Source organism: Homo sapiens, chromosome 9 (assembly GCF_000001405.40).
Source record: "Homo sapiens chromosome 9, GRCh38.p14 Primary Assembly".
Classification (NCBI taxonomy): domain Eukaryota; kingdom Metazoa; phylum Chordata; class Mammalia; order Primates; family Hominidae; genus Homo; species Homo sapiens.
This window is the reverse complement of record NC_000009.12, coordinates 91,920,638-91,942,430: the sequence shown is the minus strand read 5'-3', so window position 1 is coordinate 91,942,430 and position 21,793 is coordinate 91,920,638. Positions and strand designations below refer to the sequence as shown.

The following is a 21,793-nucleotide window of genomic DNA, read 5'->3' as shown; positions in this document are numbered from 1 at the left end:
CATGTTTGATGAGGAGCAGGAAATGTCTGTGGTCTCAAAGGATTTCCCCACAGATTCCTTGTTGGCAAGGGACAGTTGCTAACTGTAGACTGGCGAGATTTGCATCCCAATACCTGGGTGGTCCAGGTTAATGCCACAGATTTGGGCAGATGGATGCCGTCCTTCCCAAGAGCATACATCATTTAGGTTGCTTTCTATCTGGGGAAGAGAGTCTGATTATGAGCAAAAATCAGCAAACGAAATGGAGGGACATTCTATGAAACAATGGTCTGTAGCAAAAATTGTCGAGGACATGAGCGATGAAACAGGGCAGGCCAGGTCCAGCTTGAAGAAGACCACAGGGGCCTGGTGTGGTGGCTCACGCCTGTAATCCTAGCACTTTGGGAGGCTGAGGCCAGCGGATCACAAGGTCAGGAATTCAAGACCAGCCTGGCCAACATGGTGAAACCTCGTCCTCACTAAAAATACAAAAGTTAGCCGGGCGTGGTGACATGTGCCTGTAATTCCAGCTACTAGGGAGGCTGAAGCAGGAGAATCACTTGAACCCGGGAGGTGGAGGCTGCAGTGAGCCGAGATCGTGCCACTACACTCCAGTCTGGGCAGCAGAGCAACACCCTGTCTCAAAAATGAAAGAGAAGAGAAGAGAAGAGAAAGGAGGGCAGGGCGGGGCTGGGCGGGGTGGGGAGACAGTACAATACAGTACACCACAGGGTAGGTAGAGAAGACAGTACAATACAATACACCACAGGGACAAGGCAGTCCAGTGCATGTGCTGGCCCTGACCCTGTGCTGGAGGGAAAAACATGCTGTCGTGGATACTAACGGAACCACTGAGGAAATTGGAAGGTGAGCGTAAGTTATTTAAACGTGTTGTCAGACTTGTCTTTCCTGAGTTTGTTAATTGTGCAGAGGTGGTGTAAGAGGATGTCTGTACTCATAGGACATACACGCTGCCATGTTAAAGGATAAAGGGGCTTGATGTCTCCAGCCTACTATTGTCATCTCAGACCATGATAAAGCCCATGGGGCAAGAGTGACACATTAGTGAACCTGGGCAAAGAGTAGAGGGAAGTTTCATGCACCATTCTTGTAACTTCTCTGTAAAGGCGAAATGGTTTCAAAGTAAAGAATTAAGGCCGGGCACGGTGGCTCACGCCTGTAATCCCAGCACTTCTGGAGGCTGAGGCGGGGGGATCACGAGGTCAGCAGATCGAGACCATCTTGGCTAACACGGTGAAACCCCGTCTCTACTAAAAATACAAAAAATTAGCTGGGCACGGTGGTGGGCGCCTGTAGTCCCAGCTACTTGGGAGGCTGAGGCAGGAGAATGGTGTGAACCCAGGAGGCGGAGCTTGCAGTGAGCCGAGATAGCGCCATGGCAGTCTGGCCTGGGTGAAAGAGCGAGACTCCATCTCAAAAAAAAAAAAAAAAAAAAGAATTAAAAATGTTAAATTCTAACAATGGATGGCTGAAGCCAGTGCAATGAACAATGGAGTTTAGCACATGCTGTTAAAAGAAAGACTCAAGGCCCGGCGAGGTGGTGGCTCACGCCTGTAATCCCAGCACTTTGGGAGGCTGAGGAAGGTGAATCACCTGAGGTCAGGGGTTCAAGACCAGCCTGTCCAAAATGGTGAAACCCCATCTCTACTAAAAATACAAAAATTAGCCGGGGGTGGGGGCTGGGTGCCTGTAATCCCAACTACTCGGGAGGCCGAGACAGAGACAGGAGGATCACTTGGACCCAGGAGGCAGAGGTCACAGTGAGCGGAGATCGAGCCACTGCACTCTAGCCTGGGTGACAGAGCAAGACTCTGTCTCAAGAAAAAAAAAAAAAAAGAATTGCACGTTATGATTTTATTGGAAATGGTGTCACAGGGACTGAGGATGGATGCGATCCAGGTGCTTTTGAGGCCAGACAGCATTTCATTGAAGGGACTGAAAATCTCTGTCTTTGTCTAGTTTCTGGATTGCCCCAAGTTTTCTGATTTTTCTTTCTTAAGATTTTTATTATAGAAATTCCAACACACATAAAATTAGACGACTGCAGTGAACCGCTGTATATTTTTCACTCAGCTTCAACAGTTGCCACGTTCATTTCGTTTCATTTCCCCCGGCCTACTTAACAGTCCCCAGACAGCCTTAATTGTTTACCTGAAAATACTTCAGCATGAATGGTAAGAACTGTTTTTTTCACACCATCTCAATACTGTTATCAACAAGGAGCCCTGGTGTTGTCTGATACCCAGCCCTGCTGGAAATGGCCTTTCACACTTGATTTGCGCACAGCGGGGCTGAGTTGCCATGAATGCAGCTGTGCTCTGGGGTTCCCGTGGGCTTGGAAGCTCCGAATTCTGGAAGGTGTTGCTTCCCTGCATCACATAGGCTGTGGCCCTCTGGGTGCAGAGCCCAGGAACCTGGGCTTGGAGTGGCACTGAGTCTCTCTTGGACATCTTTGTGCAGGTGAATGTGGGGTGGGGCCCGGAGATTCAGGCCACGAGGCATCTGCTGAGCCTTGTTTAATCCAGCCCTTCCCAGTCCCGTTTATTCTGGAGCCCTCTTTTGGTGGGTGCTCTTGTTACCACCTCCTTCAGCACAGCCTGTGGCATGGACCAGTCTCCACTGTACTCAGAACACTGGCTTTATGAAAACAAATGCAGTATTAATGCGTAGAAAGGAGGGAGGAGGCACTTTCACTTCCGTGTGTTTACTGCCCCTCTTCTTCTTTTTTCCAGTAACAAACACAAAATACTCAATTTTCTCCTTCTTGGTGTGGAGGCTTTGACATCCCACTGTGGGATGGAGAGATGGCCTTTACCACAGAGAGAACAGATGAGGGATCAACATCCAGAGTATGTAAAAGAATTCACAAGATCAGTGAGAAAAAGATGAACGCCCCAGTTAAACGAGGGACAAAAGGTACAGTCAGGCAGTTTGCAGAAGAACAAATACAAAAGGCCACAAACTTGTGAAAAGTGTGGCCTTATTAGGATTCAAGAAAATGCAGATTATAAAACAGTTATCCCAAGCTCTTTGACTCATTGGATCACTGAAATCAGAAGTGGGTAATAAGGAGCACGAAAACCATGATGCGGGAGCATGGCATTAATGGTGCAGGACTGGCCACAGGTAGGGCCATTTGGCATTACTTGTTAACATTTAATTTAATTTAATTTTTTTTTTTTGAGATGGAGTCTCGCTTTGTCGCCAGGCTGGAGTGCAGTGGCGCAATCTTGGCTCACTGCAACCTCTGCCTTCCGGGTTCAGGCAATTCCCCTGCCTCAGCCTCCTGAGTAGCTGGGACTACAGGCACGTGCCACCACCCCTGGCTAATTTTTTGTATTTTTAGTAGAGACAGGGTTTCACCATGTTGGCCAGGATGCTCCAGATCTCCTGATCTTGTGATCCACCCGCCTTGGCCTCCCACAGTGCTGGAATTACAGACATGAGCCACTGCGCCTGGCCACTTGTTAACATTTAAAATGCACATACTCCATGGCCCACTCTAAGGAAATACTCATGCTCTTCCTTGGCAACACCATTTGCAGGAGTGAAACATGGAAACATCTATGTGTCTTTTAATGGGAGCCAAATAAGTGGTGCTAATTCTCAACTGTGGGTTATTCTACAAATGCAAGTCAATATGGGGATCTACTGATGCAAATAGAGGAAGATTTCAAAGAAGAGATTCTGAGTGGGGAGAATGATACAGAAGGAGAGATGTGTACTTACCTATTTAAAAACTCTCGCCTTCCTGCTCTCATTTCTGTGGAGATACCAATCTCTAGAATAAGATCCCCTTCTTCCTTTTTGAGATGAAGTCTTGCTCTGTTGCCCAGGCTGGAGTGCAGTGGCACAATCATAGCTCACTGTAGCCTCCACCTCCTGGGCTCAAGTGATCCTCCTGCCTCACTCTCCCACATAGCTAAGATTACAGGTGTGCACATCACATCTGGCTCACATTTGTTTTCTTTTTGAGATGGAGTGTCACTCTGTCACCCAGGCTGGAGTGTGGTGGTGCAATCTCAGGGTTTACTGTAACCTCCACCTCCTAGGTTCAAGCTGATTCTTCTGCCTCAGCCTCCCGAGTAGCTGGGATTAGCTACCAACATCTGGCTAACTAAAAAAAAAATTTTTGTAAGAGAAAGAGTCTCACTATGTTGTTCAGACTGGTCTCCAACTCCCGGACTCAAGAGATCCCTCCACTTTGGCCTCCCAAAGTGTTGGGATTAGAGGTGTGCCACTGTGATTGGCCTGGAATAAGATCTTAAAATACCCAAATATTAGACTAACTCGGGTCAGCCTGGAGGAGATGAGGGGGTTGGTCAAAGGTGTTGTCTTATTTTAGCTGAAGTTGTTTATTTACTTATTTACTCTAACAAGGAAGCTGCTCTCAAGTGTCATTAATAGAATTCAGGCTGGGCACGATGGCCCTTGCCTGTAATCCCAGCACTTCGGGAGGCTGAGGTGGGAGGGTCACTTGCAGTCAGGAGTTGGAGACCAGCCTGGGCAACATAGCAAGACCCTGTTTCTACAAAAATAAAAATGAAAAATTAGCCGGGCGTGGTGGTGCATGCCTGTAGTCCCAACTACTCGGGAGGTTAAGACAGGAGGATCACTTGAGCCCAGGAGTTCAAGGCTGTAGTGAGTGCTGTGATCACTGCACTCCAGCCTGGGTGACAGAGCAAAACTCAGTCTCAAAAGAAGATAAAAAGACTCAGGGTCTTTTTTGCCTGTCTCTCCTGTGCTGGTGATCACTTTGTTGAATCCTTTCTTGAAGCTCCTGGGGAAGACATTTATCTCTACAAATTGGAACAAGTGAGTCGGGCTGCTGCAGTGAGGGCCTCTTTCCCTTCATCTCCCTCCTTGCTTTGTAAGAATCCTTTGTCTGGCTCTGACCAGAGGAGAAGGTGGGAAGTCAGCTTATTGAGTAGGCTGTGGCAGTTCATATGTGAGTTGGGGTGCATCTAGACCCCTGGGGCGTCTGGATCTCTGGGTCTGGGGGGCGTCCTGTGAGCTGTTAGAGAAATGGGAGTTCGGAGTTGTCAGAAACTCGCCTCATCCTCTGGGTTTGCAGACTCCCCACGAGGGGAGTCTCTGCGCTTTACAAATATTTGATCCACATTCCATTTTGAGCATATTTAACATTTTTAAAATGATCATGAAAGCCTCCACTCAAGTTTGCTTCCTGCCAGACCAACAGTGGGTCCACAGGCGCCTCTGGGTCAGCTTGTTTTAGCACAGACTGAAGCAGCCGTCTCTGTTTAATTCTATAATCCCGAGTTTGCACTGTGAGCTCTTGAAAAAATACTTTAGCTTGTGTTACTGGCTGCAGAAAATCATAATTTTCTTGATATTCTGAAACTAAAGTAGAAGATGGGAAATCTTTTTTTTTTTTTTTTTTGAGACGGAGTCTCGCTCTGTCGCCCAGGCTGGAGTGCAGTGGCGGGATCTCGGCTCACTGCAAGCTCCGCCTCCCGGGTTCACGCCATTCCCCTGCCTCAGCCTCCCAAGTAGCTGGGACTACAGGCGCCCGCCACTACGCCCGGCTAATTTTTTGTATTTTTAGTAGAGACGGGGTTTCACCGTTTTAGCCGGGATGGTCTCGATCTCCTGACCTCGTGATCCGCCCGCCTCGGCCTCCCAAAGTGCTGGGATTACAGGCGTGAGCCACCGCGCCCGGCCGAAGATGGGAAATCTAAAAGATTGTTGAGGTGGAAATAAGATTAGAGCTGCTTCCTAAACTTGGAGTTTCAAGTTTTTATGGCCATTATAATGGAGGCTCAGGGTTCCCACTTACTGACTTTTTAACAGAGAATATCACACTGTTATTGGTTGAATTGCTCAAAAGAAGATATGTTGAAGTCCTAACTTCCAGTACCTCAGAATGTAACCTTATTTGGAGAAAGAGTCTTTACAGAGGTGATAATTTAAAATGAGGTCTTTACGGTGGGCTATAATCCAATGTGACTGGTGTCCTTAAGGGTCAGTTTGGCCACAGGCCAGCTCACACAGGGGCAGATGACATGAAAGGTGGCTGAAGGTAAGAGACCACAGGCAGACGACACTCGGCTTATGGACAGCCGAGGACCCTCAGAAGGAGCCAACCCTGCCAACTCCTGGCCTCCAGAGCTGTGAGACAACAAATTCTTGTTGTTTAAGCTGCCCAGTTTGTGGTGCTTAGTTACGGCAGCCCTAGGAGGCTAACACACGCATCCACCCATAAGTGCCTGTGGATCAAGTGCAGCTCACTATTGATTTTACTTTTTGGGTTTCTGCCTAAGAATTAACTTGAAAAAAAGGTTCTACTGCTAAACTATTGCTGAGCCTCGGGAAGTGGGGTAGTGGTGGTGAGCTGTCTGGCCCCGGCCCTCAGCGCTGGTCAGTGCTGCGGTCAGGAGTTGGGGGCACAGACTCATGAGGCCAGTCCTGGCTGGAGGCGGTGGGTGCTTTGTGGAGTAGCTGGGGCTGCGGTCTGTGTGTTCACCGCTTGTCATCCCTGCACTTGGCCAGCCCCTTGGGCATATGGGGCACCTCTGTGCATCCTGTCCTGTGTCCAAGGCCTTCTCTCTGGGGGTCATTGCTAGGCTGCCCATCTGTCTCCATCACCTCCCTCCAGCTATTGGCCTGGAGAAGAGTCCTGAGCCTTGTCACTTGTGGGCTGTGCTTGGGGTACATGATTTCTGCAGCGGGGCATCCCAGATGTCAGAGCAGATGAGGCAGCTCTCCGGGGGTGGGTGCTGGTAGAAAGACAGTCTGCCCCCAGGGCCAAGCCCCCTGATGCCAGGCGCCTAGTGCTGCCCGTCCTAGGGCCTTTGTTTCTCTTACAGGGACCTGGGCAAAAACAAAAAAGCCAACAAAAGCAAACATCCTCATGGCGGCTGGAATTGTGGGGCTGTCAGCAAGTGTGATTTATGCGGGACCTGGAAGCCCTTTGAAGTAGGAGGCAAAGTGGATGCCCCTGGTCTCCTGGGGAGGCTGTGTTAGGACCAAATGGAGGAAGGAGCTGCCATCCTCGCCCTGGGAGGGTGTGTCAGGGAGCTCTCTCACTTTTGTTCCATCTCCAAAGCACAGGGGTAGGCCCTGAAGCAGTGGACAGAAAAAGAGGTGAGCTGCGTTTGCTCCTCCAGCTTTTGTGGAGCCCGCAGGGCAGGGGCAGGGGTGCTTGGCCAGCTGGCTGCTCCTCTGAGGTTTCCTGGTGTGTGGCAGCCAAGTCATGTTGAGTGCCGGAGGTGGGGTATCCATGGAGCGGTGCAAGGAGGAGATTTGCAATGAGCATATTTGGGGGTGTCAGTGTGGACCCAGGTGGCCGCCGGGGACTTGGGACTGGAAGGTGACTTTTCACAGATGGATCCTAGTGGATGCTTTAGATTGAAATGAGATGCAGAATTCTGTCTTCTGATTGTATTAACAGTGCTGTCAAGAACGTAATTATGTAAGATTCAACCAGCTTTCTTGACATCTCAGTTTTCCTTCACCATTTGCAAAATTTAGTGTGTCATCATTTTAGTTTGGAAATTTTATTTTGGAAATAAAATGTCATTATTATTTTCTTTTGAAAGAAGGAAACTCCATTGTTTTGCAAGGCAGAGCTCTGACACAATTACGTCTAATTAGTGAAGTGTTGTATATGTTTTCAGAGTTCAAATAAGGTTCACGTACTCTCTTTTTGTTGTTGTTGCTGTTTTCTAAACTCTGAGCTCATTTCTTTTCTTTCTTTTTAAGAAAATAATAATTTTAAAAGAACTAAGTCAAGTTTCTCATAGTTGACCAACCACACATTTCTATGGGGCCCTAAAAACTCAGCTGTTTAAAAATAAAGCAAAATGAAAAAGAAAGAACAACAGCCAAATGAGGGTATACGTTGAACTACTCAGGATTAAGTTTAAACAAATGCTTTTCATAATTGCTGTCTTCCCCAGCCAGAAACTAAGGCCTGCTGTGTGCTTTGGGTGTGTGGGTGGGTGGGTTGCTGGGGGAAGGGTCCTTGTAATATTCGGGGAGTTTTGGCTGGGGCCAATTATTTGTTCATAATTCTAAGTATTTAAACAATGCTACGTATTTTCTGTCTTTTATGGAGGCAGATATCTCTAAGTGGCCCCTCCTGGTGCTGGGGTATGATCAAAAGGGACTTCTGTAAGTTTTCACTGGACTGCTTTAATTTTCTATCAGAACAGTGTATTTAGTACTTGATTAAGTAAAAAACAAGAAAAAACCAAAACTAAAAATCTAGTAACACATGTTGATGATTTGAAAAAGAAACCAAAACTGAGAAGGGTGTGATTGAAGAGCACCTCCCACTTCTCCCTTTTCACTCGCCCCCCCGCATCCATAAACACACTGAACAGACTTGATGCTTCATTCCTGATGTTTTCTGCGCACATGTGCTTGTTTGTGCTTCTCCTTTATTTATTTTTAAAAATTCTGGTAAAATTCGCATAACATAAAATGAATCATGTTAAAGTGAACAATTCAATGTCTTTTAATCCACTTTTATTGTTACTTGACCATTACTACCATCCAGTTCATTTTCATCACCCCCAAAGGAAGTCCTCTACCCATTAACCATCACTCCCCATTTCCCCGTCCCCGCCTTTTTCCTAGCCTCTGGCAACCGCTAATCTACTTTCTCTCCCTGTGGATTTGCCTATTCTGGAAATTTTATGTAGAAAATGTCATGCAGTATGTGGCCTTTTGTGTCTGGCTTCTTTCACTTAGCATAATGTTTTCAAGGTTCATCCACATTGCTCCATTCTTTCTTTGTTTTTATACACAGTGAGATCATACCATACATACTGAGGTTTGCTGTTTTCACCTAACGATAGTTCTCATAAGTCTTTCTGTATTAGTACATGCCAGGCTACCTCATTTTTAAAAACCATTGCTAATATCTGTCATTTATGTATACATTGGTAGTATCTGTCATTAAAACAATTTGCTGATAGCTCTCATTTGGAATTTATTTCCCTGGTCTCCTGTGGATGTATACTTCTGATTTTTAGCTATTACTTGAAACAGGTCTGTAGTGAACATCTGTAAACATATTTTTTTTTTTAACTCTGTGAGTATCTGTAGAGCCAATTTCCAGTCCAGTACTTTGTGCAAAGTATTATATTTTTTGAGACAGTCTGGCCCTGTCGCCCAGGCTGGAGTGCAGTGGCGCAATCTCGGCTCACTGCAACCTCCACCTCCTGGGTTCAAGCGATTCTTCTGCCTCAGCATCCTGAGTAGCTGGGACCACAGGCGCGTGCCACCATGCCCGGCTAATTTTTTTTTTGTATTTTTGGTAGAGACGGAGTTTGACCGTGTTAGTCAGGATAGTCTCGATGTTCTGACCTCATGATCCGCCTGCCTTGGCCTTCCAAAGTGCTGAGATTACAGGCTAACGCCTGTAATCATAGGCCACTGTGCTTGGCCTATGTTTAAACTTTTGATACTGTCTACAAAGTTGTTTTCCCAGAAGGTGGCAGCAATTTATTCTCCCAGTAATGATGCATGAACTTTTTGGGTTTTTCTAGGCCCAGCAACATTGGAAATCATCTGGCATTTTCATCTTAAGAAGTATGAAAAATAGAAATGGCATCTTAATTCTGTATGTTGACATTTTAACAATTGTCCACCAGGCCAACTGTCCTTATAAGTAATTTGTGTTTCTTTTTTCTGGCAAATAAGCGTTCACTTTCTCTACTAATTTTCTAGCAGTTATTCTCAGTTGCCTCACTGGTTTCTACAACTATTTCTGTTTTCTTTTCTTTCTTTCTTTTTTTTTTTTGAGACAGTCTCGCTCAGTTGCCCAGGCTGGAGTGCAATGGCGCAATCTTGGCTCACTGCAACCTCCGCCTCCCTGGTTCAAGTGATTCTCCTGCCTCAGCCTCCCAAGTAGCTGGGATTAGAGGCATGCGCCACCACACCCAGCTAATTTTTTTTTTTTGTATTTTTAGTAGAGACGGAGTTTTGCCATGTTGGCCAGCCTGGTCATGAATCTAAGACTATTTCTAAGAATATTTAGCCATGTACCAGATTCTGTGAACGTGTTTTTTTCCTCACGTTCTCCTTTGATTTTTTTTATGATATTTGTTTTCATGCGGTAAGTCTTAAGTTTTATGGAGTCAAATTAAGCCAGCTTTTGTTTTATATATTTTGAGTTTTGAGACATATATTAGAATCCCTTTGCCATTCTAAGCTTGTTTTTAAAAAATTATGCTGTTTTGGGTAGGTTCTTAATGATCTTTTTTTGTGTGTGTATGGTTAAATCTTCGGTTCACATGCAACTTAGATCCAGCTTTATTTTCCTCAGAAAAATGAATTGTCCTGAAATTCTTCATTGTGTAATTAATTCCTTATCAAAGATTTGAAAAGCAGCTCCCTCTTTTTTTGGGTATTAAAATTCCATGATAGATTGGTGTTATTTCTGGAAAATTCAGTTTTTATCTCACTTTTAATTACCATAGCTTTCTAAATTTTGGTATTTGGTAGGACTAACTCTTTACTCATTGTTCCCAGAACTTTATTGGCTAGTGTCACTTATTTTTCTAGATAAACTTTAGAACAATTTTATTATAAGTAAGGCAAGTTCTTAAGGCTATAAATTGTCCCATGAGTGTAGCTTTAGCTACAGCTTTTATGTTGTGTTCATGTTGCATGATGTTTTTAGTATTGTTCTTTTCCAAATAGCTTGTCATCTCAATTTTATTTCTTCTGCAAGACAAGAAGAAATTTTAATACTTGTAGGGAGTTATTTTGTGGTTTTATTGCATTTTGTGTAGATAGTGTGATCTGCTATGTTTTGGTTTTAGGGAATTTGATTTTTTTTTAAATGGCTTAAAATTTGGTTATTAAGTGGGACCTTAGATATAATCTCAGTTAAGAGCAACTTCATTGGTTATATAGTTTAGTTTTTCTGTATCTTCACTTACACTTTTGTCTTCTTTATCTGCCCTAAGTAGAGAGAAAAGTTGAAGGTATCCTAAGCCATTATTTTGGTCTGTTTCTCTGATTTTGCTTCAGATTTTGTGTTGTGCTTTTGGACACTGGGATGTCTTTTACATATATTCATGACAGAGCCTTACTGAGAATTCTACTCTTAATCATTTTAAAGTGTCCCTTTTACTTCTAATTAAGGAGAGTATGACATTAATATTACAGTTCTTCCTTATTTGTGACTTGCCTGGTACATCGTTGCCATTTAAAAATTTTCTATCTTCTAGTTGTTTGGATTCAGACAGATTTTAAATATAACAAATAGTTTTATTTGGAGTTTAATCCTATTGTTTTTTTCTTCTTGATATTTATTTTCCCTCAGTTACACTTACTGAGATAACATATTTGATCTCATTTTTGTCACATTTGGGGGAGCATAGTTTCTATTTTTAGTGCCTCCTTTTTTCTCCCTTTTGTTTGTTTTCTTTGACTTTTATGTAAAATATCTGTCCAAATCCAAGTGATTAGAAGGTAAAAAAGTGAAAAGAAAGGCAATGATGTACCAGACAAATACTATGAATTTTTGAGATTCAGCAACTTCACCAGTTCATGCTCTGATAATGACCAGCCATATCCATTCTTCTTGGGAATTAGGTCTTCAGTCTGCAAATTAAGTCTTGCTTTATTTTGGCTTCATTTTCATCCATTAAACGTTTGAATCCATGTGTTTCTGTTTGCTGTATTCTGTTTTTCAGGAACACCGCTTATAGGTGTGTTGTATCTCAGCTGTCTGTAGCCAGCATTTCTGTCCTTTCTCTTTGACTTCCCCTGACACAGTGATTTGTCAATCTTGCCCCCATGATGAACTCACTTTTGCAGCTTTACATTCCTCTGGTGTGTGTTAGAAACAAGTGCCCAGTGCTGCAAAGAAAAACCAGCACTTAAATAGGAAGTTTCTCAGCAAGGCACATTTACTTCTGCAGAAGAGTGCTGCTTGTGTTTGTCACGCTTGCAAGAGCACACTGAACAAAGGAGAGAAGGGGTTTTTATCCCTAATGCAGCTTCTGTTTCTGTTTCCTTCTCCTATTGGCTGCAGTCGGACCACACAGTCTAAGCTGATCCCGACTGGCTGAGACTTAAACTTTTCCAAACAGGGTAAATGCGTGGAAAGAAGGGGAAAGTAGGAGTAGTTTACAATTTGTGACTAAAAAGTTGAGTCTTTGTTTCTAGCAGTTTGCACAGCAAAGGTGGGAAGCGTTATTAACAGAACAGGAAAGAGCAAGAACGTTTGAAGAGGAACTGATTGTTTCCAGCATGTGGGACCTAGGTCTGTATAAAAGCTTCCAGGTGACTCTAATGTGTGGCTAGAGTTGAGAATCTCTGCTTTTCAGGGGAGCTTTAAAAAATATGGTGGCTGGGTTGGTTTCCTCCTGCTTATGATTTCAATTGTCTGGGGTGCAGCTTGGGTGCCCAGATTTTTTTTTTTAAAGCTTGCAGTTAAAACTAGTGTGCAGTAGGGGTTGAGCAGCCACTGCAGTAGGACACAGATCTGGGAATGAAAACAAAGACAGCACATTTTCTTGGCCTTTCCTTCATCTTTGCTCTCTGTGTTCAATGATGTGGGAGTCAGGTCCCGGGGAAAACTCTGTGGTACTCAGGATCTTGCACGCCCCTGGCCTTAGCACCCAGGAAGCCACTTGAGGTAGTGGCCGTCCTCTTCCTGGGGTTTATGGAGGTGTGTTTTGGCTTTTGGTGCCCACTCTTGATTTGTTTGACCTTTCTGGGTGGTTTAGAGTTGAGGCTCCTTTGGGTTTTCTTGGACTTGGAGCAGTGTGAAGCAACTTTGCTCTGTCCTCTGTCATTGGGAGCCACCTGCATGGGTGTTGGAATGTCTTTGGGTCATAAGTTGAATTGAAAAGAATGCCCGTGGGGACCAGAGGCAAATTCTGGTGCTGGTTCTTTTGTGTCTCTAAACATGACTTGTTCTGGAGGTGTTGCCTCAGTCTCTTGATGGGATAGAACATTGGCTGTGTGGGATGGAACCCCCTCTCCACGGGTTACACCTTGATGCACTTGTCTTATCCTCTGAGAAGCTGCAAGGGCGTCCATGCTGACCACTGGCGTCATCTCGAAGATGCCATGCCTTTGCGGAGCTTTTAAATTTTCCTCTGTGGCTGCGGTAACGTTTTGCAAAGTGGATTTCACTGTGCCCCCCTCCCTTGCGTTCCTTCACAGAATGACAAAGCCTCCAGGGTGGGCACATTTGGAAACTGGTGCAGCCTGTTTTACAAAAACCTGCTTTGTATTTTCTAACATAGTGTTTCTCAAACATATTTGATCATAGCGCTCTTTTATTTTGGGGACTGTGTTAGGGGAAATACGGGTGTGGAGGTTTACTGTTTCTGATTCTGTGGAGCCACAAAAAGTCAAATCGTGTTCCCATGCAGGCACAAAGCCACAGTGCCCATGCTTCCTTGCTCGACAGCATGAACCCAGCCTTCTGCAGAGAAAAGCAGTGATACTGTGCAGGCATGGCTGGTTTTCTTGCCAGTCTTTCTATTCAACACCTGTAGCAAAATAAGCAGGATAATTGACATGACGGCTTTTCAACATTCAGTCCTGATATTTATTGAACTAGTGATGTAGATGAGGAAAGTGCAGGGTGCACATTTTCTCCTGTGGAGCTTGCATGATTGACACCACTGAACGGGGGTCCTCCACTTACTATCATGGGGTTCTTCAGAAGCACTCCTCAGCATGTGATTCATGCCAGGATCTGCCCTGCTTTTTAGATGAATTATGTCATTTAGTCTTTGAAACAGTCTGTGAGGGGAGATGCTGTTTGTCCCTTTTACAGATGGGGAAACTGAGGTAGAGAGAAGCAGCATGCCTTGCCCAGCATTATGTCCCCAGAATGGTGAATCTGGATTCATCTGGGGCAGTTTGGCTTTCCAAGACTCTGCTCTCCCATGAGAAGCCCACAGTCTGCCTCTTTCCTTGCCCAGGGTCAGCGGTGAGCCCACGTCAGAGTGGTGTACCTTCCTTTCTTTATGTGGCCACCAGGGCACAGTCCCACACCGTGGTGGGTGGCATCCCAGTGATGGTGCCAGAGGGATTTTACATGGAAAGATTTTGTTATTTACATTTCCTAAGAGAAGGGTACCTGCCATGCCACGCAGGGCCTCAAGGGCAGCAGCAGGTTGGGTTGGGAGGCAGAGGGGCAGTGAGGGGATTGGGAAATACAAGGCAGTGGGGGACGGTTCCAGATGGGCTGATGTGACTCTTGTTGGCAGGCTTTGGGGCCTGGGGGTGGGGGCTGTTCCTGGGTGTCTGGTGCCTGGTGCCTGCCCTGGGGTCACATAGGGCCAAGAAGTTGGCTTGGCGTGTGAATGTAATGCAGAAGGTGGTGGCAGGTGAGTGTGATGCAGGAGGTGGCGGGAAGTGGGGCTCTAGGGTGGTTGGTTTGCATAAGAAAGGCGAGCTCCCAGTGGGCCCTTTGCTGTCTCTAGGATTTGCCAGGCCTGGGAAGGGCAGTCTCTAGCTAGTGGGGCCACAAATGCAGGAGCATCAAGGATACAGAAAATAAAATATAGTTGATACAATTGACCCTGTGATGAATGGATGCCAAGTAGACAGTTATAGAATCTAGAGGCTGGGCGCGGTGGCTCACGCCTGTAATCCTAGCACTTTGGGAGGCCGAGGAGGGTGGATTGCCTGAGCTCAGGAGTTCAAGACCAGCCTGGGCAACATGGTGAAACCCCGTCTCTACTAAAATACAAAAAATTAGCCAAGTGTGGTGGCATGCACCTGTAATCCTAGCTACTTGGGAGGCTGAGGCAGGAGAATTGCTTGAACCTGGGAGGTGGAGGTTGCAGTGAGCTGACATCGCACCACTGCACTCCAACATGGGTGACAGAGAGACTCCGTCTCAAAAAAAAAAAAAAAAAAAAAGAATCTAGAAAACACAGAGCCAGCCACAGAGGGCACAGAGATAGGGTACGGAGGTAGCAAATGGAGGTGGTGAATGGAGGTGGGGCATGGAGGTGGCCCTCGGACTTTTTTCTCCCCTGGTCCCCCTTCAGGGTCCTCTGGCTTTGGAGTTTGTGTACGGTGTTTAGTTCTTCCTGCAGTGAGTGGGTCAGCAAGGACTTTTCTTGCAGGCAGGCTGTGAAGTTACACTTACCTGTGTAATGGTTTGGGGATTTGGATGAGCTTCCAAAAGCCGCTGAGGGCGGTGACCACCAAGTGACCTTAAGATCCTGGTTTTTGGGGGAGCTGTGGGTCTCTGACCTGGAGAGTATGACCTCTAACCCAGCTGTGTCCAGGACGCAGTTTGGGTCTTGAAAGACTTACGGTCTGAAAAAGATCACTTTGCTCTGGTGGGCTGAGTATGGCCCATGAAATGGGGCAAAAGAGCACCGTTCTACCAAATTTAATGATATAACACTTCTTATAAAAAACGTGTTATTTTTTTCTTTTTAAAATTTTGGTATTAAAATACACAAAACATAGAATGTGCCATCTTAATTGGTTTTGAGCATACAGTTCAGCAGCATCAAGAACATTCACGTTGCTGTGCAGCCATCACCACCTCACTACCATCCATCTCCAAAACTGTTTCCCCTTCCCAAACAGAAGCTCTCTCCCCATGAAACACTACCTCTTTATTCCCCGCTCCTGAGTTCCTGGCAACCCCAATTCTCCTTTCTGTCTCTATGTATTTGACTACGCTGGGGACCTCGTGTGAGTGGACTCGTATAGTGTTTGTCCTTTGTGCCTGGCCTGTTTCACTGAGCGTGATTTCATCAGGGTTCACCCGGACGTAATACTCTTAATCTTTTAAAGAAGGTAGATGGATTTCTACATCTGGCTACAGTGATTGGAGTTTAAAAAAATGTATCCCATGTTTATGTGTTTCAAATCCTGTTGCAAGGATAAATATAGGATGTCTTCTTTTTTTTTTTTTTTTTGAGATGGAGTCATTCTGTCGCCCAGGCTGGAGTGCAGTGGTGTGATCTTGGCTCACTGCTACCTCCACCTCCCGGGTTCAAGCAATTCTCCAGCTTCAGCCTCCTGAGTAGCTGGCGTTATAGGCATGTGCCACCACGCCCAGCTAATTTTTTTTTTTTTTGAGACGGAGTCTTGCTCTGTCGCCCAGGCTAGAGTGCAGTGGCATGATCTTGGCTCACTGCAAGCTCTGACTCCCGGGTTCACACCATTCTCCTGCCTCAGCCTCCCAAGTAGCTGGGACTACAGGCGCCCGCCACATGCCCTGCTAATTTTTTTTTTTTTTTAAAGTAGAGATGGGGTTTCACCATGTTAGCCAGGATGGTCTCGATCTCCTGACCTCATGATCCTCCCGCCTCGGCCTCCCAAAGTGCTGGGATTACAGGCGTGAGCCACCGCGCCTGGCCTAATGTTTGTATTTTTTTAGTAGAGATGGGGTTTTGCCATGTTGGCCAGGCTGGTCTTGAACTCTTGACCTCAGGTGATCCGCCTGCCTCGGCCTCCCAGAGTGCTGGGATTACAGGCGTGAGCAACCGCGCCAGGCCTAGGATGTCTTCTTAAGTGTGCACGCAAATCATGCAGGAGAAATTAGGCAGAGTGCGTGGAAGCCAAGTGACTTGTTTCTCACCAGGAGGAAACCCCATCTCTGAGGTCAGTTGGTGGCTTCTCTACCCAGGTGTCTGTTGAACCCAGAGTGGTGTCACACCTCAGGATCGGTCCCCCAAATTCTGTGCAATGAAAGGGTAGAGTGAGCGAGTTTTCTTCTCTCTGGCTCTCTGGCAAGCACTCTTGACATAGGATTGCTGTTACTCTGTATTTGAGTTCCTATGGATTATCCATCTGTTGGTTTTCTGCCATCCAAGAAACTTAGGTGTGTGCATGTATTTGGGGTTGGAGGATAAGGATGGCGAGGGCATTGGGAATTGGGGCTTGTGTGGAGGTAAGTCATAAGTTTGAGAAGAAATGGGTGCATGTGCCAGGCACCAAAACAAGTGCATATGCATGCTGCACACACACACACACACACACACACACACACATACAGGCAGCTGACAGCATTGTCAGGGGTGTGTACCTGTGAGCTCACTTGTGCTGAGCAAGGACAGAGCTTGCCGAGCTGGGGGCTGGGTCTCGTGGGCTTGGGCTGAGCTGTTGGGATGGCTGAAGGCTGTATCTTGGGGGAAGTGCGTTCTTGAGAGCTGTGTAAGTTAATGTCTATGAGATGAGCAGATGGTTGGTGTCATGAGGGTGTCCTCTTCTAGAAGACTAGGGCCCTACAGCGATGGTTCTCTCAGTGGTGTCTCTGGACCACTGGCATCAGCATCACCTGGGAGCTTGTTAAAAATGCAAACATGGTCAGGTGCAGTGGTTCACACCTGTAATCTCAGCACTTTGGGGGAGGCCAAGATGGGAGGATTACTGAGCCCAAGAGTTTGAGACCAGCCTGGGCAACATAGTGGGATCCTATCTCTACAAATAATAATAATAATAAAAAATAGCCAGGTGTGGTGGCTCGTGCCTGTGATCCCAGCTACTTGGGAGGCTAAAGTGAGAGGATTGCTTGAGCCTGGGAGGTTGAGGCTGCAGTGAGGTATGATTGTGCCACTGCACTCCAGCATGTATGACAGAGCTAGACCCTGTCTCAAACAAACACACAAACAAAACAAAAAAAGCAAACTCTTGGGCCTGCCCCGCGTCTGTTGAATCAGAATTTTTTTTTTTTTTAGATGGAGTCTCGCTCTGTCGCCCAGGCTGGCGTGATCTTGTCTCACTGCAAGCTCCGCCTCCTGGGTTCCCGCCATTCTCCTGCCTCAGCCTCCCAAGTAGCTGGGACTACAGGCGCCCGCTACCACGCCTGGCTAGTTTTTTGTATTTTTAGTAGAGATGGGGTTTCACCGTGTTAGCCAGGATGGTCTCGATCTCCTGACCTCGTGATCCGCCCGCCTCTGCCTCCCAAAGTGCTGGGATTACAGGCGTAAGCCATCGTGCCCGGCCTGAATCAGAAATTTTGAGGTGAACTCAGCAATCTGTGCCTCTCTAATGCACGTAAAAGTTGAGATCCACTGGCTGTGATTCCCATAGAGGGCCTGGGACAGGAGGACGCAGGCAGAAGCCACTGGCCTTGAAGCTGCCTGTCACTCCACCACAAGGGACTGAGACCCGATGGACACCTTCCTCCAGTCCTCCCCTTGCCTCTCTCCACCGCAGGGACTAGGAGGGATGGCCGGGCAGTCCCCAGCGTGACCACAGGATGCCTGATGTTGGGAGTGGGGACAAAGGATAGGAAAAGGGCTGGGCAGCAGGAGGGATCACCTACCATGGAGGACAAAGACCTTGCCCTCAAGTGTCCCTCCCATTCATGGAGTACCAGCTCAGTTCTACTCAGTGCAGACAGGCAGCAGAACAGCAGCTTGGGGAGAGCAGGAAAGAATCAGCTGCCAATGTTGTAGTGGAGACGGATTTCAGGGCCTGATGAGGGTCCAAGTATGGACTGCAATTGGGATGCATGAGAACATCCTCAAACCCTGGAATAGGAAGGCACCCATGTGCCCTGATTTCTCCTCGGCTCTCATTCCAGGAGCCACACAGGACAGTTGACCCAACACTTCTGCCACCTGAAGAACGACACCTGCATTCCTCCATCTCTGGGACCACCAAGGAACTCAGGGAGCTTGGAATCTCTCAGATCAAAAAGATACTGACTCATCGGATAGCCATGCCATCCTGAAAACGGCCTTCCTTGTGTGTACATTATTTGCAACAAGCAACAAGTTTATAAGCACTTTGGTAAAATTGCATGTGAGGGTTAAAATATTAAAGTCAGTGCGTCAACTTGAAATAAATGATGAGTTATTGATTACTGCTAAAGAAAAAATGTAATATTTGTGGTCCTGTTATGGTTTAGATGTGAATTTTAAAAAGAAAGCCTTTGTTCAGAGTTTTGCACATTTCCTCAACCCTGGGTCTCCAGAGCTTTGTTTTGCTTGCCAAGTCTTAAATTAGCCATCTGCAAATTTCCTTACCTTGGGTATTTCTGGATATAGGAGGATGCCCAGGGTGTGCATTGTTCTGTAGCTGTACCGTCCAATTGATAGCCATTAATCACATGTGGCTATTTAATTGAAGTTAACTCAGACTGAATAAAATTACAAACAGACCCTTGGCTGCACTAGCCAAACTTAAGTGCTCAGTTGCCACATACCACATGTGGCTGGAGGCCACACTGGACAGTGGAGATAGAGACACTCTCCCTCTTCACAGCAAGTTGGGCAGTGCTGCTTTATACTGCCTCATCCCCAGCATTTTGGCCAGTCATAAGTACTTTCTGAGCACCTGCTCTGTGCCTAGAGGCTGCTAACTTGTTAGCTTATTGAATAAAATACATTGGGCATCTTCTCTGTCCAGGTGATCACTGAATTCCTTGGCATAGCTACTTAGGTAACAGACATCTATTCTTTGGCATGAGGGAGAGGCTTTATGTATGTGAAGATGGAATGGAGCTGTATTGGGCAGTGGGGAGTGGGGAGGTCATGCCCAGCAGAAGTGAGGCAGAGTGAGTCTGTTGGAGGACAGGGCTTTGAGAGGCAGGCTGCCCCAGTGTGCACCCAGAAAGGAGGGCAAAAGGCTGAGCAGCTGGACTGGGGTTGGATGCAGCAGCTATGCAGCTGATTTGGAGAGCCTGACATGAGAGGACACTGAGGAGTCGACAGGTTTTGGAGAAGATTCCCATCTAATAGTTTTAAAAAATATTCTTGGTCGGGCGCGGTGGCTCCTGCCTGTAATCACAGCACTTCAAGAGGCCAAGGCAGGTGGATCACGAGGTCAGGAGATCGAGACCATCCTGACTAACATGGTGAAATCCTGTCTCTACTAAAAATACAAAAAATTAGCCGGGCATGGTGGTACGCGCCTGTAGTCCCAGCTACTTCGGAGGCTGAGGCCGGAGAATCGCTTGAACCTGGGTGGTAGAGGTTGCAGTGAGCTGAGATCATGCCACTGCACTCCAGCCTGGGCAGCAGAGTGAGACTCCATCTCAAAAAATAAAAAATAAAAAAATTATTTAAGTAGAACAACATTCAGTATGGACATCAAACTGTTGATATTTAACCTGTTTCTTATTTGATTGCAAGGAAGATGGGACTCAGAGAAGACGCTGTTGATTTCCAAGTAACATTTCATTCACAAGTCTTCAATTTCTTTTGGGTACATACCTAGCAGTAGAATTTCGGATCACATGGTCATTCCATGTTTTTTTTTTTGGGGAACTGCCAGACTTTTCCACAGTGGCTGCACCATTTTGTATTCTCACCAGCAGTATTCCAGGGTTTTAATTTCTCTACGTTCTCAACAGTACTTGTTTTCTGTTTTTGTTGTTGTTGTTTGTTGTTGTTGTTGTTGTTGTTGTTGCTGTTGTTTGGTTTTTTGGTAATAGTCGTCCTAGTCCTAATGGCTGTGGAGTGGTCTCTCATTGTGATTTTGATTTGCATTTTCCCAGTGACTAATGATGACATCTTTTCATGCTCTTTTTGGCCAGTTGTGTATTTTTTTTTTTTGGAGAAATGTCTATTCAGATCCTTTGCCCAATCTCACCTTGGGTTGTCTTTTTATTATTGTTGTTAGAGTTTCATTTACTTTTTTTTTTTTTTTTTTGAGACGGAGTCTCTGTTGCCCAGGCTGGAGTGCAGTGGCGCGATCTTGGCTCACTGCAACCTGTCTCCCGGGTTCAAGCGATTCTCCTGCCTCAGCCTCCTGAGTAGCTGCGACTACAGGCGTGCGCCGCCACGCCTGGCTACTTTTGTGTTTTTAGTAGAGACAGGCTTTCACCATGTTGGCCAGGCTGGTCTCCTACTTCTGACCTCAAGTAATCCACCCGCCTGGGCCTCCCAAAGTGCTGGGATTACAGGCGTGAGCTACCACACCCGGCTTCATTTACTTTTAAAAGACTAAACATTACCATCCCCTTGAAGTTAGAAGGGAAGAACTTGGTGACACAAAGAGGCCTGCGGCTTGGTCTGCAATTAAGCACAGGCTCTTGAAAAGTGTCCTCTTTTGCCAGTGTGGTTTGGGATTTCCACAGCCTCTGCATTCTATTCCTGATTCTGCTTTACTTTTGCCATATATGTAAGTGTGTGTATACGTGTATATATTTAAGAACGGAGGAAAAAATATAATTACTTTTAATTTGGAATTCCTGTTTTAACTTTCCCCTATATTAAAGAAGGACTGATTTTGCATGTACTTAGGCTGAAGTAGCCACTTCTTTGTTGATATGGGGTTGAGGTCTTGATTCATTTTTTCCTGCAGGTCAGAGAGCACTAGGACATGCCCAGGGCCAGTTTGTGGGACCCTTTGTGGGGAAGGGACAGTGCTTCTCCTGTCCGCTACTTCTTGTGGCTGGCCACCTGCCATTTGGCACCTGGTTGAGGATGGGACATGAGTGTCCACTCCACAGTGCTGTGTTCACCCCCTCGGGTGGAGGTCCAGTTTGTTGGCAATGATACTGCACACAAGCTGTCTGAGGCTTGGCTATCCTAAACAGTCTCTGGCTGGTTTCAATATGAGTTATTTTCATATTTTAGTGTATAAAACCTCCAATTTACATTTTGATGCAGATCAGTGAAGCACACCCTTGGTCCGTGCCTGAGTGCCTGGGGCCACATTAATTAAATTATGTTCACTTCAGATCTTTCTTTGTGCCCCATAGTGGGGTCTCCGCCTCTTCTGCCTGTAGCTCTGTCACCTCTGAACATATCGTCTGCTTGACCTATCTGTCATGTGTATTTGTTTTTATCTGCTTCACACCCCAGAGCAGACATCTTCATTTGCTTTGTCGATATGCTCCCAAGTGCCTGGAAGCACCTGAGACAGA

At 46.1% G+C, this 21,793-nt stretch overlaps 1 protein-coding gene across 6 annotated transcripts in view, besides 4 other annotated features; it reads left to right on the top strand.

The window, feature by feature from the left end:
- ROR2 (receptor tyrosine kinase like orphan receptor 2) overlaps window positions 1-21,793 on the top strand; it is a 227,628-nt gene that overhangs the window by 7,798 nt on the left and 198,037 nt on the right. Inside the window, exon 2 of one of the 6 annotated variants that reach the window (XM_047423437.1) lies at window positions 18,503-18,666. The exons of the other annotated variants lie outside the window; for them this stretch is intronic. The gene's annotated coding sequence lies outside the window, so the exon portion shown is untranslated. The remainder of the gene's footprint in view (window positions 1-18,502; window positions 18,667-21,793) is intronic. 6 annotated transcript variants of the gene reach the window in all.
- Window positions 1,938-2,452: an enhancer, noted in NCBI's record as "NANOG-H3K4me1 hESC enhancer chr9:94702261-94702775 (GRCh37/hg19 assembly coordinates)". NCBI's record gives its function as "activates a minimal SCP1, AML or CMV promoter by ChIP-STARR-seq in naive H9 embryonic stem cells {active_cell/tissue: H9 hESC(naive)}" and the evidence as "EXISTENCE:reporter gene assay evidence [ECO:0000049][PMID:30033119]".
- Window positions 6,898-7,731: an enhancer, noted in NCBI's record as "H3K4me1 hESC enhancer chr9:94696982-94697815 (GRCh37/hg19 assembly coordinates)". NCBI's record gives its function as "activates a minimal SCP1, AML or CMV promoter by ChIP-STARR-seq in naive H9 embryonic stem cells {active_cell/tissue: H9 hESC(naive)}" and the evidence as "EXISTENCE:reporter gene assay evidence [ECO:0000049][PMID:30033119]".
- Window positions 19,961-20,801: an enhancer, noted in NCBI's record as "OCT4-NANOG-H3K4me1 hESC enhancer chr9:94683912-94684752 (GRCh37/hg19 assembly coordinates)". NCBI's record gives its function as "activates a minimal SCP1, AML or CMV promoter by ChIP-STARR-seq in primed H9 embryonic stem cells {active_cell/tissue: H9 hESC(primed)}" and the evidence as "EXISTENCE:reporter gene assay evidence [ECO:0000049][PMID:30033119]".
- Window positions 20,802-21,642: an enhancer, noted in NCBI's record as "OCT4-NANOG-H3K27ac-H3K4me1 hESC enhancer chr9:94683071-94683911 (GRCh37/hg19 assembly coordinates)". NCBI's record gives its function as "activates a minimal SCP1, AML or CMV promoter by ChIP-STARR-seq in primed H9 embryonic stem cells {active_cell/tissue: H9 hESC(primed)}" and the evidence as "EXISTENCE:reporter gene assay evidence [ECO:0000049][PMID:30033119]".